At 44.7% G+C, this 18,092-nt stretch overlaps 1 protein-coding gene and 5 long non-coding RNA genes across 7 annotated transcripts; 4 read left to right on the top strand and 2 right to left on the bottom strand.

The window, feature by feature from the left end:
* Window positions 1-305: 305 nt before the first annotated feature.
* On the bottom strand, window positions 306-1,173 carry TESHL (testicular germ cell expressed HSF2 interacting lncRNA). Its single transcript, NR_130782.1, has 2 exons — window positions 965-1,173; window positions 306-489 (listed from the first exon to the last, which is right to left on the bottom strand). It is a non-coding gene; the product is annotated as a testicular germ cell expressed HSF2 interacting lncRNA (long non-coding RNA).
* Window positions 1,174-4,135: 2,962 nt separating this feature from the next.
* LOC105373876 (uncharacterized) lies at window positions 4,136-5,613 on the top strand. Its single transcript, NR_135525.1, has 2 exons — window positions 4,136-4,364; window positions 5,417-5,613. It is a non-coding gene; the product is annotated as an uncharacterized LOC105373876 (long non-coding RNA).
* A 1,851-nt stretch (window positions 5,614-7,464) lies between these two features.
* On the top strand, window positions 7,465-11,691 carry LOC124906118 (uncharacterized). 2 transcript variants are annotated; one of them, XR_007088082.1, is made up of 3 exons: window positions 7,465-7,553; window positions 10,963-11,020; window positions 11,585-11,691. It is a non-coding gene; the product is annotated as an uncharacterized LOC124906118 (long non-coding RNA). The 2 variants fall into 2 exon arrangements; XR_007088083.1 differs by lacking the exon at window positions 7,465-7,553 and adding an exon at window positions 10,419-10,538.
* A 189-nt stretch (window positions 11,692-11,880) lies between these two features.
* Window positions 11,881-12,487, top strand: TNP1 (transition protein 1). Its single transcript, NM_003284.4, has 2 exons — window positions 11,881-12,049; window positions 12,250-12,487. Exons 1-2 carry the CDS (start codon window positions 11,911-11,913, stop codon window positions 12,276-12,278), a joined length of 168 nt encoding a protein of 55 aa, NP_003275.1. The 5' UTR covers window positions 11,881-11,910; the 3' UTR covers window positions 12,279-12,487.
* Window positions 12,488-14,167: 1,680 nt separating this feature from the next.
* On the bottom strand, window positions 14,168-15,548 carry LOC124907979 (uncharacterized). Its single transcript, XR_007088084.1, has 2 exons — window positions 15,376-15,548; window positions 14,168-14,801 (listed from the first exon to the last, which is right to left on the bottom strand). It is a non-coding gene; the product is annotated as an uncharacterized LOC124907979 (long non-coding RNA).
* A 1,261-nt stretch (window positions 15,549-16,809) lies between these two features.
* LOC124907978 (uncharacterized) lies at window positions 16,810-17,562 on the top strand. Its single transcript, XR_007088081.1, has 2 exons — window positions 16,810-16,976; window positions 17,138-17,562. It is a non-coding gene; the product is annotated as an uncharacterized LOC124907978 (long non-coding RNA).
* Window positions 17,563-18,092: the final 530 nt, after the last annotated feature.

Genomic DNA, 18,092 nt, shown 5'->3' with positions numbered 1-18,092 from the left:
GAGCTGATGGTGATCTGGTGGTTCACCTGGCTCAGCCTGCACTGGCCTTGTTTAGACGGTCTATCAAACCAAATAAGCCCTTATCATATCCAGAAAGCATCTCAATTTATCCCAAACAAAAGCCCAACCATGAACATCATAGTAAATCTTTCAAACAGGAAAAAAAGGGTAAACTACATATTTCCTCCTGACTCACATGGTTCTCCCTCTGCTTACAACACCCATCTGATTACATGAAGGGCTAGGGTACTAAGGTCACTCAACGTCACTCTTCAGCTAAACAGTAACACTCAAAAACACCTTTGTCAGAGAAAGAAGAGAAAGTTTATTTAGAGACACTGGCGTGGAGAGGAATAATCAATGATGATTATGGTGGTCTTGGGCCTGCACCAAAAGCCCTTCTTTGTGCTGGCCCTGGGAGAACACATGGCACAGAAAAGCCCAGATTCAAGCAGCTTCTTCAACCAAAACATTGACATATTCTGCTGACTAAAGAGACAAATAAGAAAATTAAAGATGTACACTCCAAGAACCCACGTGTTTTTCATATAGGGACCTTCCCAACTCAGTTTCCCAGAGATTCCATCAAATACAGACCTTCAAAGAGTTTGAGAGTACCACCTCAAAGAGGTAGGTCCAGGGTTTGTGTGATCTCTCTTTACTGCATGGACAAGATTAGAGGGAGGCTCTACAGCACAAAGAAGACAAGCCATGAGCACAGAAAGCCTGGCTCTTCACAGGACTTGTGGGGAAGCAGGGAGAGAGTTGGGTGGTTGTTTTTTATTGGTGGGTGGGTGTCGGTGAGGGAAGGGATTGTTAGAGAAGTACTGGGGCCAGTCTTTAGAAGGTGAGAGGTGATCTTTGCTTTTGCCAGAGGCATGACAGTTTGGGAGATTGGCCAAGCATGGGTGACAATTCCTCAGTCCTGAGAGTCTCCTCTGTAATCAGAAAATGTCATCAATACCTTGTCCTCCCATTCCTTTTCAGAGATAATTTCCTTTCTTTTTGCCTCTGTGGGGAATATTTCAGATGACATGCTGAACACCTATACCTGCAGGCCTTCACCATCTTCTTCTGTTCCTCAACTCTGGTCAGCATGAGGTTTTGGTTGAAACAGCAAGATCTGCCTGCTCCTACTGTTGTCCCTCTCTCCTACCGCAGGTCCATTTGTCCAAAGCAGTCCACCCATCATTCCCTTTATATAGTGGCTTATGACACGGGCCCTCCTGGTAAAGGGACATGATGATTGATGGTGCCTTGTCACAATGGCTGAAAGTCAACATGAGAGCTTGGTTGAGTGGTTGGGGCAGTACTGAAATGTTGGATAAAATTAAGAAAATGCCTAGTAGGACTCCTTAAATCAGCTGGCTGCCTATCAGCCAGCCCATAGGAACCCCCAAGAATTACAGAAACCAAGCAAAATTCTCTATGCCTTTCAAACCCAAGTCTAGCTTTTTTTTTTTTTTAAAGAATAACCATTTATTAAAGTAGATACAGAACACTTGTTTGGCCAAATTTTAATACTGCTTTACATGTTTTGTTTGTGAAACAATTCGTATTACATTTATAACCAAAAATTTCAACTGGTAACATATTTAATATTCACTGTCAAACACACAGTTGATAATCTTGAGGGGAAAATACATGAAAGGCATATATACAATTATAGAAGCTCTTATTGTACATGTAGCATATTTTGATCTCCAAGTCTAGCATTTTTAAAGCCTTTGTCTGCTGACACATTTAGGCATACATTCCTGGTTTCATTGCCTTACTTCTAGAAAGAGATCTTGAGGGAGGATTTGAACAATGTACACTTTTTAAGTGAATTTATTGAAGTATAATTGATAAACAATAACCTGCACATATTTTAAGTGTACAATTTGATAAGTTTTGACCTAGGTATACACCCATAAACCATTACTACAAATCAAGATAAAAAGTACAATTAAAGCTCTAGTCCAGTTCATTTTTTAAATCTACTACCCCTGCCCTATCCCCTAGAGCCCCACAGAAATATAGCTTCAACTTCAAGAAGCTTGATATCTGGCCAGAGAAGCCATCTTCTACTGGTAGATATAAAATGTGACCAAATGAAGAAGTAACCATAGAGTATAGGGCCTTTGTTTTGAGTCTTGAAGCACATTTGGAAGTTTAATAGGTGAAGATGAAAAAAATAGTACAAATCACTGAATTTCCTATGAAGACCTGTACTTTTTCTACTTTTTAAATAACCCAGTTTGGTTAGAACAGAGGTTGCCTGAAGGAAATAATGAAGGACATGGCTAAAAAGCCAGGTTGGGGTTGGGGATGGGGATATGGAAATTGAAATGCTGTAGTCAAAATGTCTACATCTTGTTTCACTGGGCAGCAGTTTGCATGAAAAAAGAGACTCCAGCCACCTCCACAGTGATGTAGTCCAAAGGCTGATGAAGGGCTGCCACCTGGCATCATGGAAACATGGGCCTCATAAAGGGGGAAGAGCCCAACAACACACCTGGGCTTCAGGCCTAAGTAATGAAGCTCTGGGTGGTGCCAACCAGAAGGGTCAGGTTGGCAGGAAGGTCCCAAGAAATGTCGTCTCCTCTCTTCCTTAAAAGCCTGGTTTCAAACACACTTCCTGAACAAGGGCTGTAGTGATTCACCCACTTCAAGAAGGCCAACTTCATGTTGAGGCCATAGTGGGTGGAGGGGTGGAGGTGATCATCCAAGCATCCCCCAGTGTCCCTCTAATATCCCACCTCTTGCAGATGCCCAAGAGGCAGAGAATGCTACAGTTCTCTTGTCATTCTTTTAACATAAGACCTAAGGTTTTAATCCTGGGTAGGGCAACAAAGGCAGGAAAGAAGAGAAAGAAAGAGAAGGAGGTGGAGTTGTATTCAAACTACATATGTGATGCTGAGCTTAATGTATTCTAACTCTTCTCTGATTGTCAGGTGCTCTGCAGGAGTCACCTAAGGTAAGGACAGAGAAATGAGATGAGGTTCCCTCAAGCGGTCACACAGTGCCTGGCGCTTAGTAGGTCCCCTAAAAGTGCTCTGACCACCTCAAGTGTCGCAGCTTCCAGTTTTGCATGCCTTACTTTCAACCCCATTCTTTCCTGAGTTTTCTTCTGTTCTCTCGGTCTCCTTGCCCTGCTCTCTCCTCTGAAACACCCAATGGCTGATAAATCCCATAACTTTGTCTCTAGAGCATCTTACCTGCCCCTGGAGATTCAACCACACAAAACTCTACCTTGCCAGTGCCCAAAACTACATCCCCAGCCTCAATTGCTCTTCTGAGCTACAGATGCCTCTATCCAATTTGTCTACAGGGCATCCTTGGGGACCTCTCTGGTAGACATTCAACCTATGCAAAACTAAAACCAGTTTTTTTCTGTTCACATCTATTTCCTGCTCCTGCATCTACTCAGCAGTCATTCACTATTCACTTAGGACAGAAGACTAGGATTAAAACTTTACCCCTCCACATAAATCACGTCAGTATTTTATAACTTATCCCTTCTTCAACTCCATTGCTGGCTTGGGTTAAATGGCTTAATATCACTAAAGAACTTACCATATTGCAGGCACTTTCCTGCAATAGATAACAAGTTAGAATTCAAGTCTTTTGTTGATAGCTGTCTTTATGGTGAACATTAAGTCAAAGATATCACCCTCTGGGTAACTGACCGTCTTCCTCTGCATCCCTTCTGTGGCAGCAGTTAGAGCATACGCACTAAAATTAAGTAGATGTGGATCTAAATCCCAGCTCTACTGTTTAGTATTTGCACATCCTTGAGCTATTTCCTGAAGCTCTGAGCCAGTAAGGAGGTGATCTCCAACTAGGTGTTTAGTCTCCTCATTGGTAAGATAACAGGATTGCCATTAAGCCTGAGTCCTCTCTTTAACTTATTGAAGATTTTTAAGGCTGGGAGCAATATAATGATTTGCCCACATTTGGTAAGTTGAGAAACTTGGATCCAGAAAATCAGTCTGACTAAATATTGGAGAAAATCATCTCAGGTCCCCTGCTCAGCCCTTCTCTTGTAGATTGGTTCACTGACCTCATATGGCCTTTGTGATATCCCAGAGAGGGGAAGACCAAGTCACAGTGGCCTAGATTCTCTGCAGCTGGGCTCCTTCTGTCTCAGAGCTGGGAATACAATCTTCAGGCAAATGACTGGAAAGCCTCCTTCAGGCCCCTAACATCTCCCAGCAGTAAGTATGAGCACTAAGTGTGTGCATTCAGCCACACTAGGATACAGCAGAGCTGCATGTACCCCAGGACTCAGCCAGTTTCCTACGGGAGCATAGAAGAAAGTACCACTAAAGGAGAGCAAGGAGAAGGAAGAGGAAGAGGGCAGTGATTGGCAAGGCTTGAGGGTAAGAGTAGGAGGAGTGAAGACAGGAGTAGTACCAGCTACGGATGGAGGATGTATGTGAGGAGGGGAGAGGGGAGATGGTCATGGAGCCAGTAATGAAGAGACTAAGTCCATTCTCAGGCAAATGGCACAGCCTCAGTATGAAGTAAGTCATTTGCAAGTATTCATGAATCTCCCATTATGAATAGGAGATCTGACCAGCTTTCCTGGATTATAAAGGTAAACAAGATAGGGATTTTTCAATTTAGTTATCTGGTATTTGCCATAAGTAGTGTCTTAAGTGAGGCAGGAGAGACAGAGTGGGCTTCATAGTCACGGGACCTGTGCATCACAAACGGTCTTGTGCCCACTTACCCACACTGATTCCAGATTTATGCTCTTCTGTCACCATCTTGAAATTCTTAATAATTTTTTAGCAAGAGGCTAGCATATTCATTTTGCATTGGACTTCACAAATTATGTAGCTGGTTCTGGGGAGACATAATTTTTTTTATCTGGAGCATGTGGAGTCCTAATAAGCAACAACAAGGAAAGGGCGCAAGATGGGGGGAGGGCCGGCCCCAAGTTGGAGGAGAACAGTAAACAATTGTTCTGAGAAATGGCTAAACACAAAAAACCTGTGGGCATAATGACCTCCTTCCCCAGATAGACCCAGCAGCACAACCTCATTCTGCACATAAATCCTATAAAACTCCCCTCTAGCCCCTGCCTCTTTGCAGACAGCCCCTTCTCTGCTGTGCTGCCCATTGCTTTCTTGCAACATACCTTCATACTTTGTCTAATAAATCTGCCTTTCTTTACCTATGATTGTCTTGGTAAATTCCTTTACTGCCCACAACACCAGCCCCAGCTAGTCACACCCACAAGAAAGCAGATGTCACAGGAAGTAGCAAGTAAGCTAGGCCAAACCAGAGCTAAAGAGGTAACAAAATCATAAGGGAAAATTTGGAAAATGTCACGTTAGCCTTGTGTGCCCATCTGAAGAACTTCCTGAGGTTCTCCTGCTCTAACCAGGGACTTTTAAACCTCAGTTTTGTCTTTCCTCTCTTGCAGCATGAAGAAAGTGCACTTTCACTGTTGCAGTAGTCTTAGAAAACAAATATTTCTGCATGGTGACACGGTTCTTACTAGAACCCCAGAACATCTCCATGGTATGACCTACCACATTTCCTCCCCACCAAAATAATAATAATAATAAGGCTACACAGTATCTGGAATTTCTTGCTCATTAAAATCTGATTACTACCACACTCAAAAGCATCTGGGTCTTTCTTTGGTCCTTACTAAAAACAAAGGCTTTGCTTTGAACATTTCTCCAGGCAAGTCCCATCTGCTCCCCCAGAACAAGAATGTAATGAAGAAGGAAGTGTTACTAAACCTTTGTGCTTTGGACCACAGAACTTTAGAATTAGAAAAAGCAGCAAAAGATCTACTTTTTTCTTTTTATTTAGTATAAATACAACTAAATCTACTTTTTGAGATCCCCAAATATGAGTATTCTGCCCCAAAGAACAATGCGGAAAACTGACAGCGACACTGTCAAGCAAGCCTTCATTGCCAGCTCTGTCTCTCAAGAGTTTCAGGACATGTAGTAAAATTATGTTTTGAATCTGCCTGTTCTTCTCCCTCAATCGCCACTAAGACTAGGAAGTAGAGGCTTGGCAAGCCAAGTCAAAGAGGCAGGGCTGATTGTGATGCTCTCTCTTGGCCCAGCCTTGGTCAGTAGAGTTAGTCAGAGCTCCTGTATGCAATGCACTCTACCAGCCTGATGGTCACAATGCTATGAAATCATCAATTATGAAGCCATTGACCTTCACGTGTGGCAACCTCAACCTGTCTCTGTGGTCCTTTTCCACCCTTGATGGCAACTCTTTCCCCCCTTTCAAAGGGTCAGGTGCCCTAAAACTCAGTGAACTGATGGCCCTTGGCAGGTGGGATGATTTTAAGAGGGCCAAGGCCCCTGCACATGGCTCTTAGCACACAAGAGGAAAAAAGAAAAGCAGACCAAATGCACAGAAAATAACAAGAGGCCAGAAATTATAATTGTGGTGCATCATTGTATAGTGGCATGAAGCCTGGACTGGAGATTAAGAGATCTAGGTTTGAGATCTCACTTTGCCTATGATTTGTGACTTTGTCTGTTACCCTTCATCTCAAGGCCTATTTATTATAAAATTGTTCTCTAGCAATGCTCCAACTCAAAGTTCCTTACTCCCGTTGGTGGATGGATTAAAACATATTATTCTTGACCACATGAGGCCAAATGATTTTAATATGTGTGATATTTTTGTACCATAACACCCTTTTCTAACACCCTGGGATGCAGCCCTACTTTTATCTTAACAGCTGAATGGAACTATATTTCCAGTGTATTCTGGAAAAGGATATCTTTTTTGTTACTATGTTATAGATGGGGATAAAGGAAGGCAGCAAAGTGGCTAGTGGTCAATGTGAAAACTTTATTTAGAACCCTCTGAAGCACACAATTTGAATTTTCTTTATGCACCATTATACCATGTAGTTTTATTGTTAGTGAGACTTGGAAAGACAAAGGGAACAGAAATAGTCAATTTTCAGAAATCCAAAAATAATTAAAAGCAAACGAAAAGTTTGAGTGCTCTCAGAATGAGAACTTGAAAGTTGTCCAGAGGTCCTCCAAATTCATGCCCTGCCTCTAAGGACTACTTTTTTCCAGTTCTCCCTCTTTAATATTAGGTTCCTTCACTGTGATCATAGCAGGCATGCATGAAAGAAAAGGCTAATAGAGTGGAGACTCAAGGACAGGTTTGTTTTTAAGTTGAGTAGGGAAGGCACTGTGGTGCAGCAGGCAGTCCTTGGCCTGGGGTCGGCAAACTTGTCGCTATCCTGGCTCTTCCACTGCCCAGGTGTGGCTCCCGAGATAAGCCTCTTGGCTCCCAAAGGAGCAGGACAAGGTACACCTTAAGAGCCTCCCATGACCACTGCTCTTGTGATAAATCTCCCACTTTAAGCACCCCAATCTCTCTCCCCCTGAAAAAAACAGAAACTGTTTACTGAAAAACAATTTGAGAATGCAGCAGAAAGAATAGGAGAGAAGCCTGACGGAAAAATGGGAAAGAACACCACCAAATCTTCAGGCAGACTCCAGGCCATTCTCAGAACCAGGATGCTCCCTGTACCTCCAGAACTGGATGAAAAAAGACGAACGGAGGTAAGATCCTTCCTCCCTTTTGCTCTGCAAACCACCCCTTGGCCTTGGTCTCTGGCCTCTTCTTATTCCCTACTGAAGACAGTGAATGTGTTCTGAGTTCAGAGAGCTCTGCCCCTTGGTGAGGCACCTCTCTCAGCCACTTTCCCCTCCTCCAGCCTGTCCCCAAGCCCCTTTGGCCTGTTTGAACAGCAGCAATAACAACAGTAGAGAAGACAGGGTGTGCATGTGAACTGGGTAAAAGGTCCCCACTTCCCAGCCGAGGTCAGCATCTGGAGAGACTTAGATTTCAGAGAGGGATTCAGACTGAGTCATCGACAGGTATAAGGACTGTCAGCAACTTTTCCATGTTCCCTCTTCATAAGCCCCAAGTCTCAGCCTGCTGGGAAGATCCGGCCCTATGAAGGCATCCACTGGACTCCCCGGGAAAATTAATGGAGTGAGTTTGAATTGGAGAAGTGACATGGAATCTAACTAGAGATCTGACTTCCAAAACAGTGACACCCTAAGGCTACCCCTCCTAGCCTAGGAAAGGGACCAGTGAGAGCACTGGCCTCCAAGCCCTTTCCTGCACTGTAACCCTAGCTACCCGTCTAGGAGATACAGACACCATCCTGTCCATTTACCTTTCTCCAGGCAAGAACTCACTGAGCCCCAAGAAAAGAAAAGGCTGATAGTGTCTCTTCTCAAAAGGCCAGGAATTTAGCTCTCTCTCTTTCTGTGCCAAAAATGTTCAGAACATAGTCGTTTCCTTTCATTAAGGGAAAAAAAAGCTGAGTCCCACCAGGGAAGCTAAGGTGTAAAGGAAACAGGTTTATGGGGCTGTCCCTGTTAGTCCTATGCTGAGTTATTTGAAGTCACTCATATGTCCTCTCTGTGCAAAGATAGCAGAAAAAAACAAAATGGTGAGACAGGGAGCAGACTGGATTAACAGATGATTCTCAAGGAAGGGCCTCATCCTGGACCTGCTAAAGGTTAGAAGTAGCTCACTAGGCTCTATCTAAATTGCTGCTAGCTTGAGCAACACTGGGGCAGAAATGGGAAGAGAAACAGAGACAGGCAGCAGAGACCAACGCTCAGCCCTGCTCCATCCTCACTCCAGGAGGTCCGATACAGGAGCCAACCCAAACACCCCCCACACCCCACTCTTGAGTGGCCTGTGAATCGCCTTCCCCGTCCCCCACTGGGTTTTCTGCTGCTTAAGTTTCTCAGCATGGGTGTCTGGAACCAGAACTGCTCCTCAACTCTAGGCAAAGGGGACTTTTTTGTTTGTTTCTTCATCAGTTCCCGAGTCTGGCTGCCTTCTTCCCTGTGATCTCAGCTTCTCCTTGGCAGAGCAGATCTTTTGGGGGTGGGAGGGATTGGGGAGAGAAATAGTATCCAGCCTTCAGGACCATCCAGAAAAATGTCTCTCAAACCAAAGAGGCCAGTTCCTCTGTAAACATTTTAGCCAATGGTTTCAGGCATGAGAGGTGGACACAGAGCACCAGAGGACCTGTTGTGAGGACAATGTCTTCTCTCTTCCCTGCCTTGAAATGGCCCCACTTATGCAAAGTCACTGTGATTGTGTTGAACTGTCTGTCCTCATAATATACCAAAGCAGCTAGACTGAACAAATATTTACTGACCACCTAGTGTGGGCCATGCTAGTACCTGCGGAAAATGCAGTAGAAATAAAAGGTACAGTCCCTAACGAGAAGGAGGCTATCGCCAAAGTCAGATCATTTCAGAGATCACCTAGCCCAATCTGCTTATTTTTAGAATAAGGGAGCTAACGACCAGAGAAGTCCAGTCAGGACCAGAATGAAGACACACCACCTCCTGTTGAAACCAGTCTAACACACATGGCTGGCAATGCAGGCATAAAACATGATTTCACACAATTAGGGTTGGTTGTCTAGACTTTAAAGCCAATATTATACAGACAATAAACTTTGAAGAAGTTTCAAAGGACAGTGAAAATTTGATAAGTTGGGAAGTCTTCCTTAGAGATGTGGGGCAAAATGGGAAGGAACAGGATAGTTAGAAAAATAAAAGAAGGACTTTTTATTCATTGACCAAATGTATTTCACAAATACTTACTGAGCTTCTATTCTGTGGCAGGACTGATGAACTCCCAGGGAATATTCAGTAGTGAGCCCAATTTCTCAATTCCTGCTTTCACAGAGGTCCCTGCTTTCATGGGGGCATGTTTGTAGGAGAAACAACCAGCCTTGAGTGGACGCAGAAGGTCTGGACTACCAACAAGCAAGCCAGCAGCCTGTTTTATAGAACTTCTTCATGTGAATAAAAGTCACCAACAAGTCACCAATAGAAGGTCTCCAGAGAGACCTGCCCAGAAGCAGGAAAATGGAAAGTGTCACATATGGTGGCTATACAAGGAATCTGGGTTTCAAAACTCAATTTGCCATCTATAGATATCAGAAAACCAGGGAGTGGGACTTGAACTACTTTCGCTCTTCTATTCAACCAACTTTTGCTAAGGATCTCCTGCATACAAGATGCTCAGTTCTTGAATGAGGGTAATGACAATGGAGAGAGGAGAGACAAATGGAAGAAATAGCAAACAAGTTCTATAGAAATCCGAATGAGGCGGGCACAGTGGCTCACGTCTGTAATCCCAGCACTCTGGGAGGCCAAGGTGGGCAGATCACCTGAGATCAGGAGTTCAAGACTAGCCTGGCCAACATGGCGAAACGCTGTCTGTACTAAAAATACAAAAATTAGCTAGGCATGGTGGCACACGCCTGTAATCCCAGCTACTCAGAAGGCTGAGGCAGGAGAATTGCTGGAACACAGGAGGCAGATGTTGCAGTGAACCAAGATTGTGCCACTGCACTCCAGCCTGAGCAAAAGAGAAGACTCGGTCTCAAAAAAAAAAAAAGAAAGAAACATTTTCAAAAGCAAAGCATTTACTATGAGGTGTAATGGAGGAAAAAGGAAAGGCTGGATGACTTATACACCAATAATCATTCAATATATCTATTTGTAAGTGTCAAAGGCACTTCAAAGCTGGTATGTCTTATACCAAGTACATGATCATCACTCTCCCCATGTCTGGCCTTTATCCCCATGAATGGCACCAGCATCCAGATAACTGCATTATACAGAAACAAAAGCCACACCCTTGACACCATCTGCTTTCACCTCCCAAATTCAATCCGTCACCAAGCCTTGGTCTCTTGTCTACTTTAGATCTCAATCAACACCTTTCCTGGCCAGACCTAAACCATCATCAAATCTTTCTCTCTGCTGAACCATTGATGTTGACAGTAGCATCTCCCTTTACACAGCTCCTCCAGTCAATACATCACCCACTTGGCACCCTCTAATCTCACATGCCATCCTCTTAACATTTTTAAAGGCTTCCCAATGTACTTGATCATGGTTTGATCTCTGTCTCTCCCTCCAGCCTCATCCTGTACCATGTAGGGAGTTTCCCTCTGCCCTTCTCCAGCCAAAATGACTCCGTAAGTACTTACTCACTGATTTATGTAGACATCTGATGAATGGCTTTCTCCCCAGTGGGCTGAGAGTTCCATGAGCACAGTATCTACGTGTGTTTATCCTCCACTAATTTTCTACCACCTAAATGTATGGCATATGCTATGTGATCAATATCTGTGACTGAATTTTAAAAAATGATTAGGTTAATTGTTCTGAACCAGAGCCATTTTTTCCCTCACTTCCCCAGCCTCCCAAAGAAACAGGTGGCAATGTTTGGGAATATTTTGGGTTGTCATAGCTGCCAGGCTTCTCTGGTGTCCAGTGGGTAATGGCCAGGGATGTTGCCAAACATCCTAGGGTGCACAAGACAGCCCACTGAAAGTTACCCTGCCCATTGTGTCAACAGTGCCAAGACTGAGAAATCCTGACCTAGATGAAAAAGAAGGAATATTTCTATTTTGATCATATTGAATTGGGTTCTGTAGAGTCAAGTCCTTACAGAAATAAATTTATTATCTCTGGATGCTGTGAGAGACTTAAACAGTCATGCATACACACACACTCAATGACTGTTACATTTCCTACAGGCAGGAGAAGCATATCTGAATGGTCTCTTGTACTCATCCAATGCCTGGCACAGGGCTGGGATTCAGTTTCTCAATAACACCTCTCTGGGAAAGCCTCACTTAACATAAAAAGGACCTCAAAACTGAGGGCAGCCCTTGAGCTGCACGAAAAGGACCACCTTATTTCACAAATGTGACCAAAGTGCAGCAAAGGTGAGTGACAGCACAGTAGAGCCCCGCCCACCTGCTGAGCCATGCCCCTTCCCTGTCACAATGGCCAAGGCCTTAAATACCCAGACTCCTGGCCCCCGGGCCTTGCAAAGCCCCTCATTTTGGCAGAACTTACCATGTCGACCAGCCGCAAATTAAAGAGTCATGGCATGAGGAGGAGCAAGAGCCGATCTCCTCACAAGGGAGTCAAGAGAGGTGGCAGCAAAAGAAAATACCGTAAGGGCAACCTGAAAAGTAGGAAACGGGGCGATGACGGTGAGTGAGGGATGGGGAGGAGATTGCCAAACTTAGGCACACATTGCTGCCAGGCCCTCCCTCTTGGAGGCAGCTCTCACAGGACCCTGAAATCTTGGCCTGAGATTATTTCCAATAACTAAATGCAGATTTGAGCAACAAGAGTCTTGATGGGAATGTTCTAATTCGTGTCTCTGTTGCAAACCTGTCCTTTCCCACAGCCAATCGCAATTACCGCTCCCACTTGTGAGCCCCCAGCGGGCTCTGCCCTGGTGCGCTTCACACAGCACCAAGCAGCAACAAGAACAGCAGAAGGGGAACTGCCAAGGAGACCTGATGTTAGATCAAAGCCAGAGAGGAGCCTATGGAATGTGGATCAAATGCCAGTTGTGACGAAATGAGGAATGTATATGTTGGCTGTTTTTCCCCAACATCTCAATAAAACTTTGAAAGCAGAAATGTTTACTTTGATCTTTTGGTTGGAAAGACTTGAGTTCCTGAGCTAGGTGGGTTTGGGGAAGAATTGGCCAGTATGAAACCATTAAATGTGACTTGGAAAATATCAAAAGTAATTTGTCCTCCAATTCCCTCCCACCACCGTGGGAGGTGGTCCTACTCTGGCCACACACTATTGCCGTATTTGTCTTCATCCCAGTGTGCTGTCTCTCTCCTCAACATGGAAAGGGAGAAGAGATAAAAAAGGGAGAAATGCATTCATTAGCATTAACCAAAGGATTCAAGCTGTTTTTGTTAGAGCTTAAACCAAAGGATGCAAGCTGTTTTCGTCAGAGCTTATAGCATAGAGGTGTTGAAAGCTAAACTAAATCTAAAGACTTGGCCCGGAGATAGAGATCACCTGGAGGAGCTCTTAGAAGCTCTTAATTCATTGATCATATGGGCAGTATTAGCAGGCTAAGAGATGGGAACACCTTCTGAACAGAGACCAACATGTTCTTTGTAAAGGATCCTATTGGTAACAGTGGAAGTGATGAGAGTTTAGATTTCTTTAGGTTATTTTGGTAGCTATGTTGGGCTTGAGGTGGGCAAGACTGAAGAGTGGGATATTGCCTCGTAGCATGCCATAAGCCTTAGTCCAGTGTGCCTAGAAGTAGGAATTGTCTCAATCTGAGTATTGATCATTTGACAGAGAGAGAGAGAGAGAACTGACTTTAGGGATAGAGCTGGTTCTGCTCATTTAGGAAATTCCTAAGCCCTCACTTTACCTTGTCCCTGAGTTGTAACACAATTTATGATGTCTCTGGTCAAGGATATGACATTCACCCACTCAGAGGTGGATCGTATTTTTCTTGTTTCCTGTTGCCTCAGAGGTAGCTCCAGGGTAGAAATGAGACTCATATTTAAACTCAAGAACCAACCACCCACGTGGTTTCTGGGGAAGTAACCAGGAAAGGGTATAAGCAGGAAGGAATGAGGGGGCATGAGGTTAGACACGAAGTTTCCAGCAGTCAGGGGTGTGAGACATGGGAAGAGGACACTATTAAGTCTGAGCCTCATGCAAATGTGTGGGTACCAGGATGTTGGTCCTATAAGGGGTGGCAAGGGGTGTTCCTGTGGGTCAGAATCTAGAAATGCAATAAAAAAAAGCATGTTCATTTTTCAGATAAGTTATTTCACTTGTTGGGGTAAAATATTTCAAGTCCTCACTCTTCCATAACCCTAAGAATGAGCATGCTGATTCAGAGCTGTTTTCAAGTTCATGTGAAAAACATCTCTCCTTACCATCAGGCACACAGATACTTCAAAGTTTTCCATTGTCAGTTTCCCTTTTTGTTAAATGGAGGATAGGGATAGGGAAAATGCTTCATAACCCTCATCCTCCATGGTTGTGTATATTTTACCTCCTAAATGTGACTTTTGTTTGTCTTTGCTTCTCTAACCAAACTCAGATTAGTCTCAAATAATCCTATATGTGTCCGTAGTGTCACTGAACGAAGCTCTAACTTCTTAGAAGTTTGCACACATATCTGATCTGGATTCCCTCCTTCAAATCTCTGAAAGAACTCATCAGCCATGGCTCTCACCCTGCTCTCATGCCTCCTGGGACTTCCTCTGCCTCTGTATAAAATATAAACACACTTTGCAACACATGAAATCTAGAAAATAAATCCAAAAAGTAAAAATTGTTTAATTATTTTAATGTGCTTTTGCTGCTCTTGCTGTAAATTCTTTTAAACTTAGCCTCATAGGTTGGGTTCTCAGGGAGTGGAGATGGAGCTTGAATGCAAGATGTTTATTAGAGGTCAGTACTTGAAGAGGGAGGCTGCAGGGTCGTACAGAAGAAGGAGCTGCACAAACCATCAGGCAGTATAGCCAGGCCTTTATACCATTTATACCCCCCCTGGCTGGGCTGCGCCAGTAAGACATGGCATTTCCCTGCTGAGGCAGACTCAGAAGGGAGCATCAGCTGGAGGTTCCTTGGTGGACCACACACCCACAATCTGAGCAGCTCACCTCGGTGTCTATTACAATTGCTCTCTGGATGATCTGTATCTTTTCTCAGCCTCTGGTCCCCATCTTCCCCTTAAGCCTCTTCACAGCTTGCTGCCTTGCCACTTCCTGCTATGACTGTGTGTCATGAGTCTTCAAATGCTCTTGTGCACAGCTCACTTCTTGTGGATTGCCAATTTGCACAAAGATGACCTCTCCCATAGGACAAAGTCAACAGTCAGGAACAAACTAGAATACCGTGATGCTGAGTGTGCAACATTTACTTCCCTCAGGAAACTTGTTATGATTAGGGAGCCACAGATCCCTGCAGATGGTCCAAATGAAGACTTTGTCAAAGGGATTATTTACAGAGGAGAGACACCTAGAGCCTACCAATGAGGTCTTCAGACCCTTAGGACTGAGAAGGCAAAAGGGCAAAATAGCACAACAGGAGCCCATTGACAGCCAAAACTGTGTGTGGGAAGGAATGGTTGTGAATGGACCTCCTGGTAAAATCTGTACTAGGAGGATCGCAGCTGTTGTCAGGCTCAGACACAGGGAAGAAACATTCCATCATTTATCTAATCTCCTGCTGCTGCTCTCATTGGCGAAATTCAGAAGTCAGCAGACAAGAGACCCCAGGTGACACAGAGCATAAGGGCCAGCCCCCTGGGGCATCAAAGAGCAGAGAATGTTGGATAAAATCTCCAAAATCCAACAGTGATATCTGACACAACTTTGTAGACAAAATTCTTCTTTCCCTGGACTCCTTAGAAGTTTGCCACTTTATCAACCTGCTTATCTCCTCCCTTATGTTGTCATGGACCGAAGTCCCTTCAGAAGCAAATTGTAGAGAGATAGAGTGAGGAGAGAGTTACACAGGGCTCCTGAACCCTCACCTTAAAAAGCTTGTTTTCATGTTATTTGCATGACAGTATTATCCCCAAACCAATACAACGCAATGTTCTAATGTAGTGCTATATCTTCACAATACTCTAAACACTGAAACAATCTAATTAATCATCAGGACAGGCCTGTGGTGAACAGCCCAAGACTAGCCACGGCAGACAGATCTTCGCCTGGTGACTTCAGCCTCTGCCCTCTTAGACAGGTTGTGAAGGAATGGTAGCCGCCCGGAAAACTCTGCTTTGCACTGGGAACTTTTTCCAGACCCACATATTGGAAGTTTTTCAACACTGGCATTGATGTAGTCTCTGTACCCCAGGAATATTCATTCTGTCCCTCTGTTTACAGTTCCTGTAGGCCCAGCACCTGCAAGGCACGTGTAGGGGTCTTTGACCATGGGGACTCTCTTTCAGAAAACCCAAAGGCCTCACCCCCTGTGTGCTTTTTCTCCATCTCCCTAACCAAGGAGGACTTTGTTTCCCTCCCCAGTTTTCTCCAGAACGCTATGTCCTAAAGTCATCACTTGTTTGGAAAAGTGAAAAATCAAAAAAAAAAAAAATGAAGGATCTTGGCCACAAGCCCTTTTGGGTCACCTTGACCTTCATGTGAGCTGACTTGGATATGGGGCCTCTGCTCCACTGGCCTCAGAGCCCGATGGGAGTGGCGAAGCCCAGGGGACCCACATGTGGGTGGAGAAAACCCCAAGGAGCTATGGAGAACACAGCCAACTCCCAACTTTCACCCAGCCTCCTCCGGATGACCCTTGGGTGGGACCTGCATCTGTGCAGCTGCAGGCAAACAGGAAGTTCTGGAGAAATGCTCAGGGCTATGTTTAGGAGGTGAAGGCCCAGAAATGGCAGCAGGGAGGAGACTTTGTGCTCTGGGGGTAGCTGGTGCAAGCCAGACATGGCCTGGGGCTTGGCTGTTGGGGTCACCCAAAGGTTCTGTCCTTTGAAACAAGAGAACAGCAGCAGCCTGAAAACTCTCTCACTTTCTGGCTTTGCAATCTGAGCACTCGCTTCCAGGCCTATGCTGGGAGAAGAACCCAAACAGGGAAGGGTCTTAATCCTTGACCTCTAGGAGCAGTGGGCCTTGGTTCCAGGTTGATCTGCCTCACTGGGCTGTACATGAGGAAGCTGGCTATTTCAACAAAGCCTGCCTCTCCTCATGGCTGGCCTCACCAAGCCTCTCTCCATTCTCTCCCCAATCCCTCCCACGGCACTCCAAACATGAGCTTTCTACTGCAGCTGAGCCCTCCAGCCATTCCTAAACTCAGTGTTCCAGAAGTAGTTAGCATCATAATACAAGAGGGTTGAGAATCAAAACCCAGGGGCCCGACTCCTTCTGAGCCAACTCCTCTTGCTTTGTGACCTCAATTGACCTATTAGTCCTGCCTCATTTTAAGCTTTGCACACCTCCTCTCCTGCAACTGGGGCCATTTCATCTCTTTCAATGGCCCGGCATCATCATCGCTGTATGCAGGCCTGACCTCAGGCAGAAGGGAGTGAGGCAGCATGACATAGGATGAAGCAGAAAGGCACTGGGGTGAGTGGGCCGGCGTCTGAATGCCCACTCTCTAGCTGTGTGATCTTAGGTGAATTTTATAACCTCCATTAACTTCATCTTCCTTATCTGTAGGATGCCAGTCATAAAATCTACCTCTCAGGTGGCTTGTAAGAATCTAAAATGCTGTAAATTATAGGCCCTGAGTACATTGCATAACCCCTCATTTCTCTGTCTGGACTGGTCTTTTAGGGATCATGACTGCTTCCCAGACCTTAGTCTCAGGATGCCACACCGGAAGAGCTGGACCCCACATTTGAAGACAGATGTCCCTGGCGGTGCCCGCCTGCTCTGTAAAGAGCTAGTCCCAGGCTCCCATTGTGACCTAGCACCTCAACCTCTCCTGACCCTTTTGCCTAGGCCAGATCCTGAGATCGGAGAGTACATACATCTCCCTGGGGCTTGCTTTCCTCTCCCATAAAATTTAGGAGTTGGGGATGATCTTATCCCTCTACCTAGACTGTAGACTCCTGGGAGCGGGAGGCAAGGCACTCACAAGCAAGGGCATCAGAGTGACATCAAGACACAAACAGCCATGGAATCTTGGGAACAGATCAAGGAGTCCACCTCTTAAAATATTGTAAAAAATAAAATCTGAGTACGAATGTTGGTGAAAAGGACCAAGGATGGATCAATAAACTCACCAATTAGCAACATACTTATTTTTTTCCATTAGCACTGGCAAGTATCTTTAAAATTAATTAGGTATGAAGTCCCTGGGTCTAACACACAGGAGGTTTTTACTAAAAAGATGTAAAGAGCTTGAATTTCACAATCAGCAGGGATCATCCTCAAAAATGCTTTAGAACAAAAACTTTTCTAAAAGTTGAAGGAAGGATACAGCCTTCAACAGTCCTAGAAACTGGACCTTTATTTGTTGAAGTTCCCTTCAGGAACACAGAGGAGCAACACTACACCAGCTATACAATAATACTTCTGCAACTGTATGTGATAGAATCACCAGGAGATCCTGATAAGATACACACTCTGATTCTGTAGGTCCAGGGTGGGCCCAAGATTCTGCATTTCTGAGAAGCTCCCAGCTGGGGCTGATGTTGCTGGTCCAAAGACCAGAGTGAGTAGCAAGGACATAAGAATACTCAATTGGAAGCTCTCTCCAAACTTCTACAACTATTCATTACCCCTA

This window comes from Homo sapiens, chromosome 2 (assembly GCF_000001405.40).
Source record: "Homo sapiens chromosome 2, GRCh38.p14 Primary Assembly".
In the NCBI taxonomy this organism is placed as follows: domain Eukaryota; kingdom Metazoa; phylum Chordata; class Mammalia; order Primates; family Hominidae; genus Homo; species Homo sapiens.
Note: the sequence above shows the minus strand (reverse complement) of the source record. Positions and strands in the feature narration are given on the sequence as shown.

Bases quoted from the DNA above. Each gene is read 5' to 3' on its own strand.
- TNP1 (NM_003284.4), top strand. From the start codon at position 11,911: ATGTCGACCAGCCGCAAATTAAAGAGTCATGGCATGAGGAGGAGCAAG. The intron at 12,050-12,249 runs GTGAGTGAGGGA...CCTTTCCCACAG, and splicing joins TAGGAAACGGGGCGATGACG to CCAATCGCAATTACCGCTCC.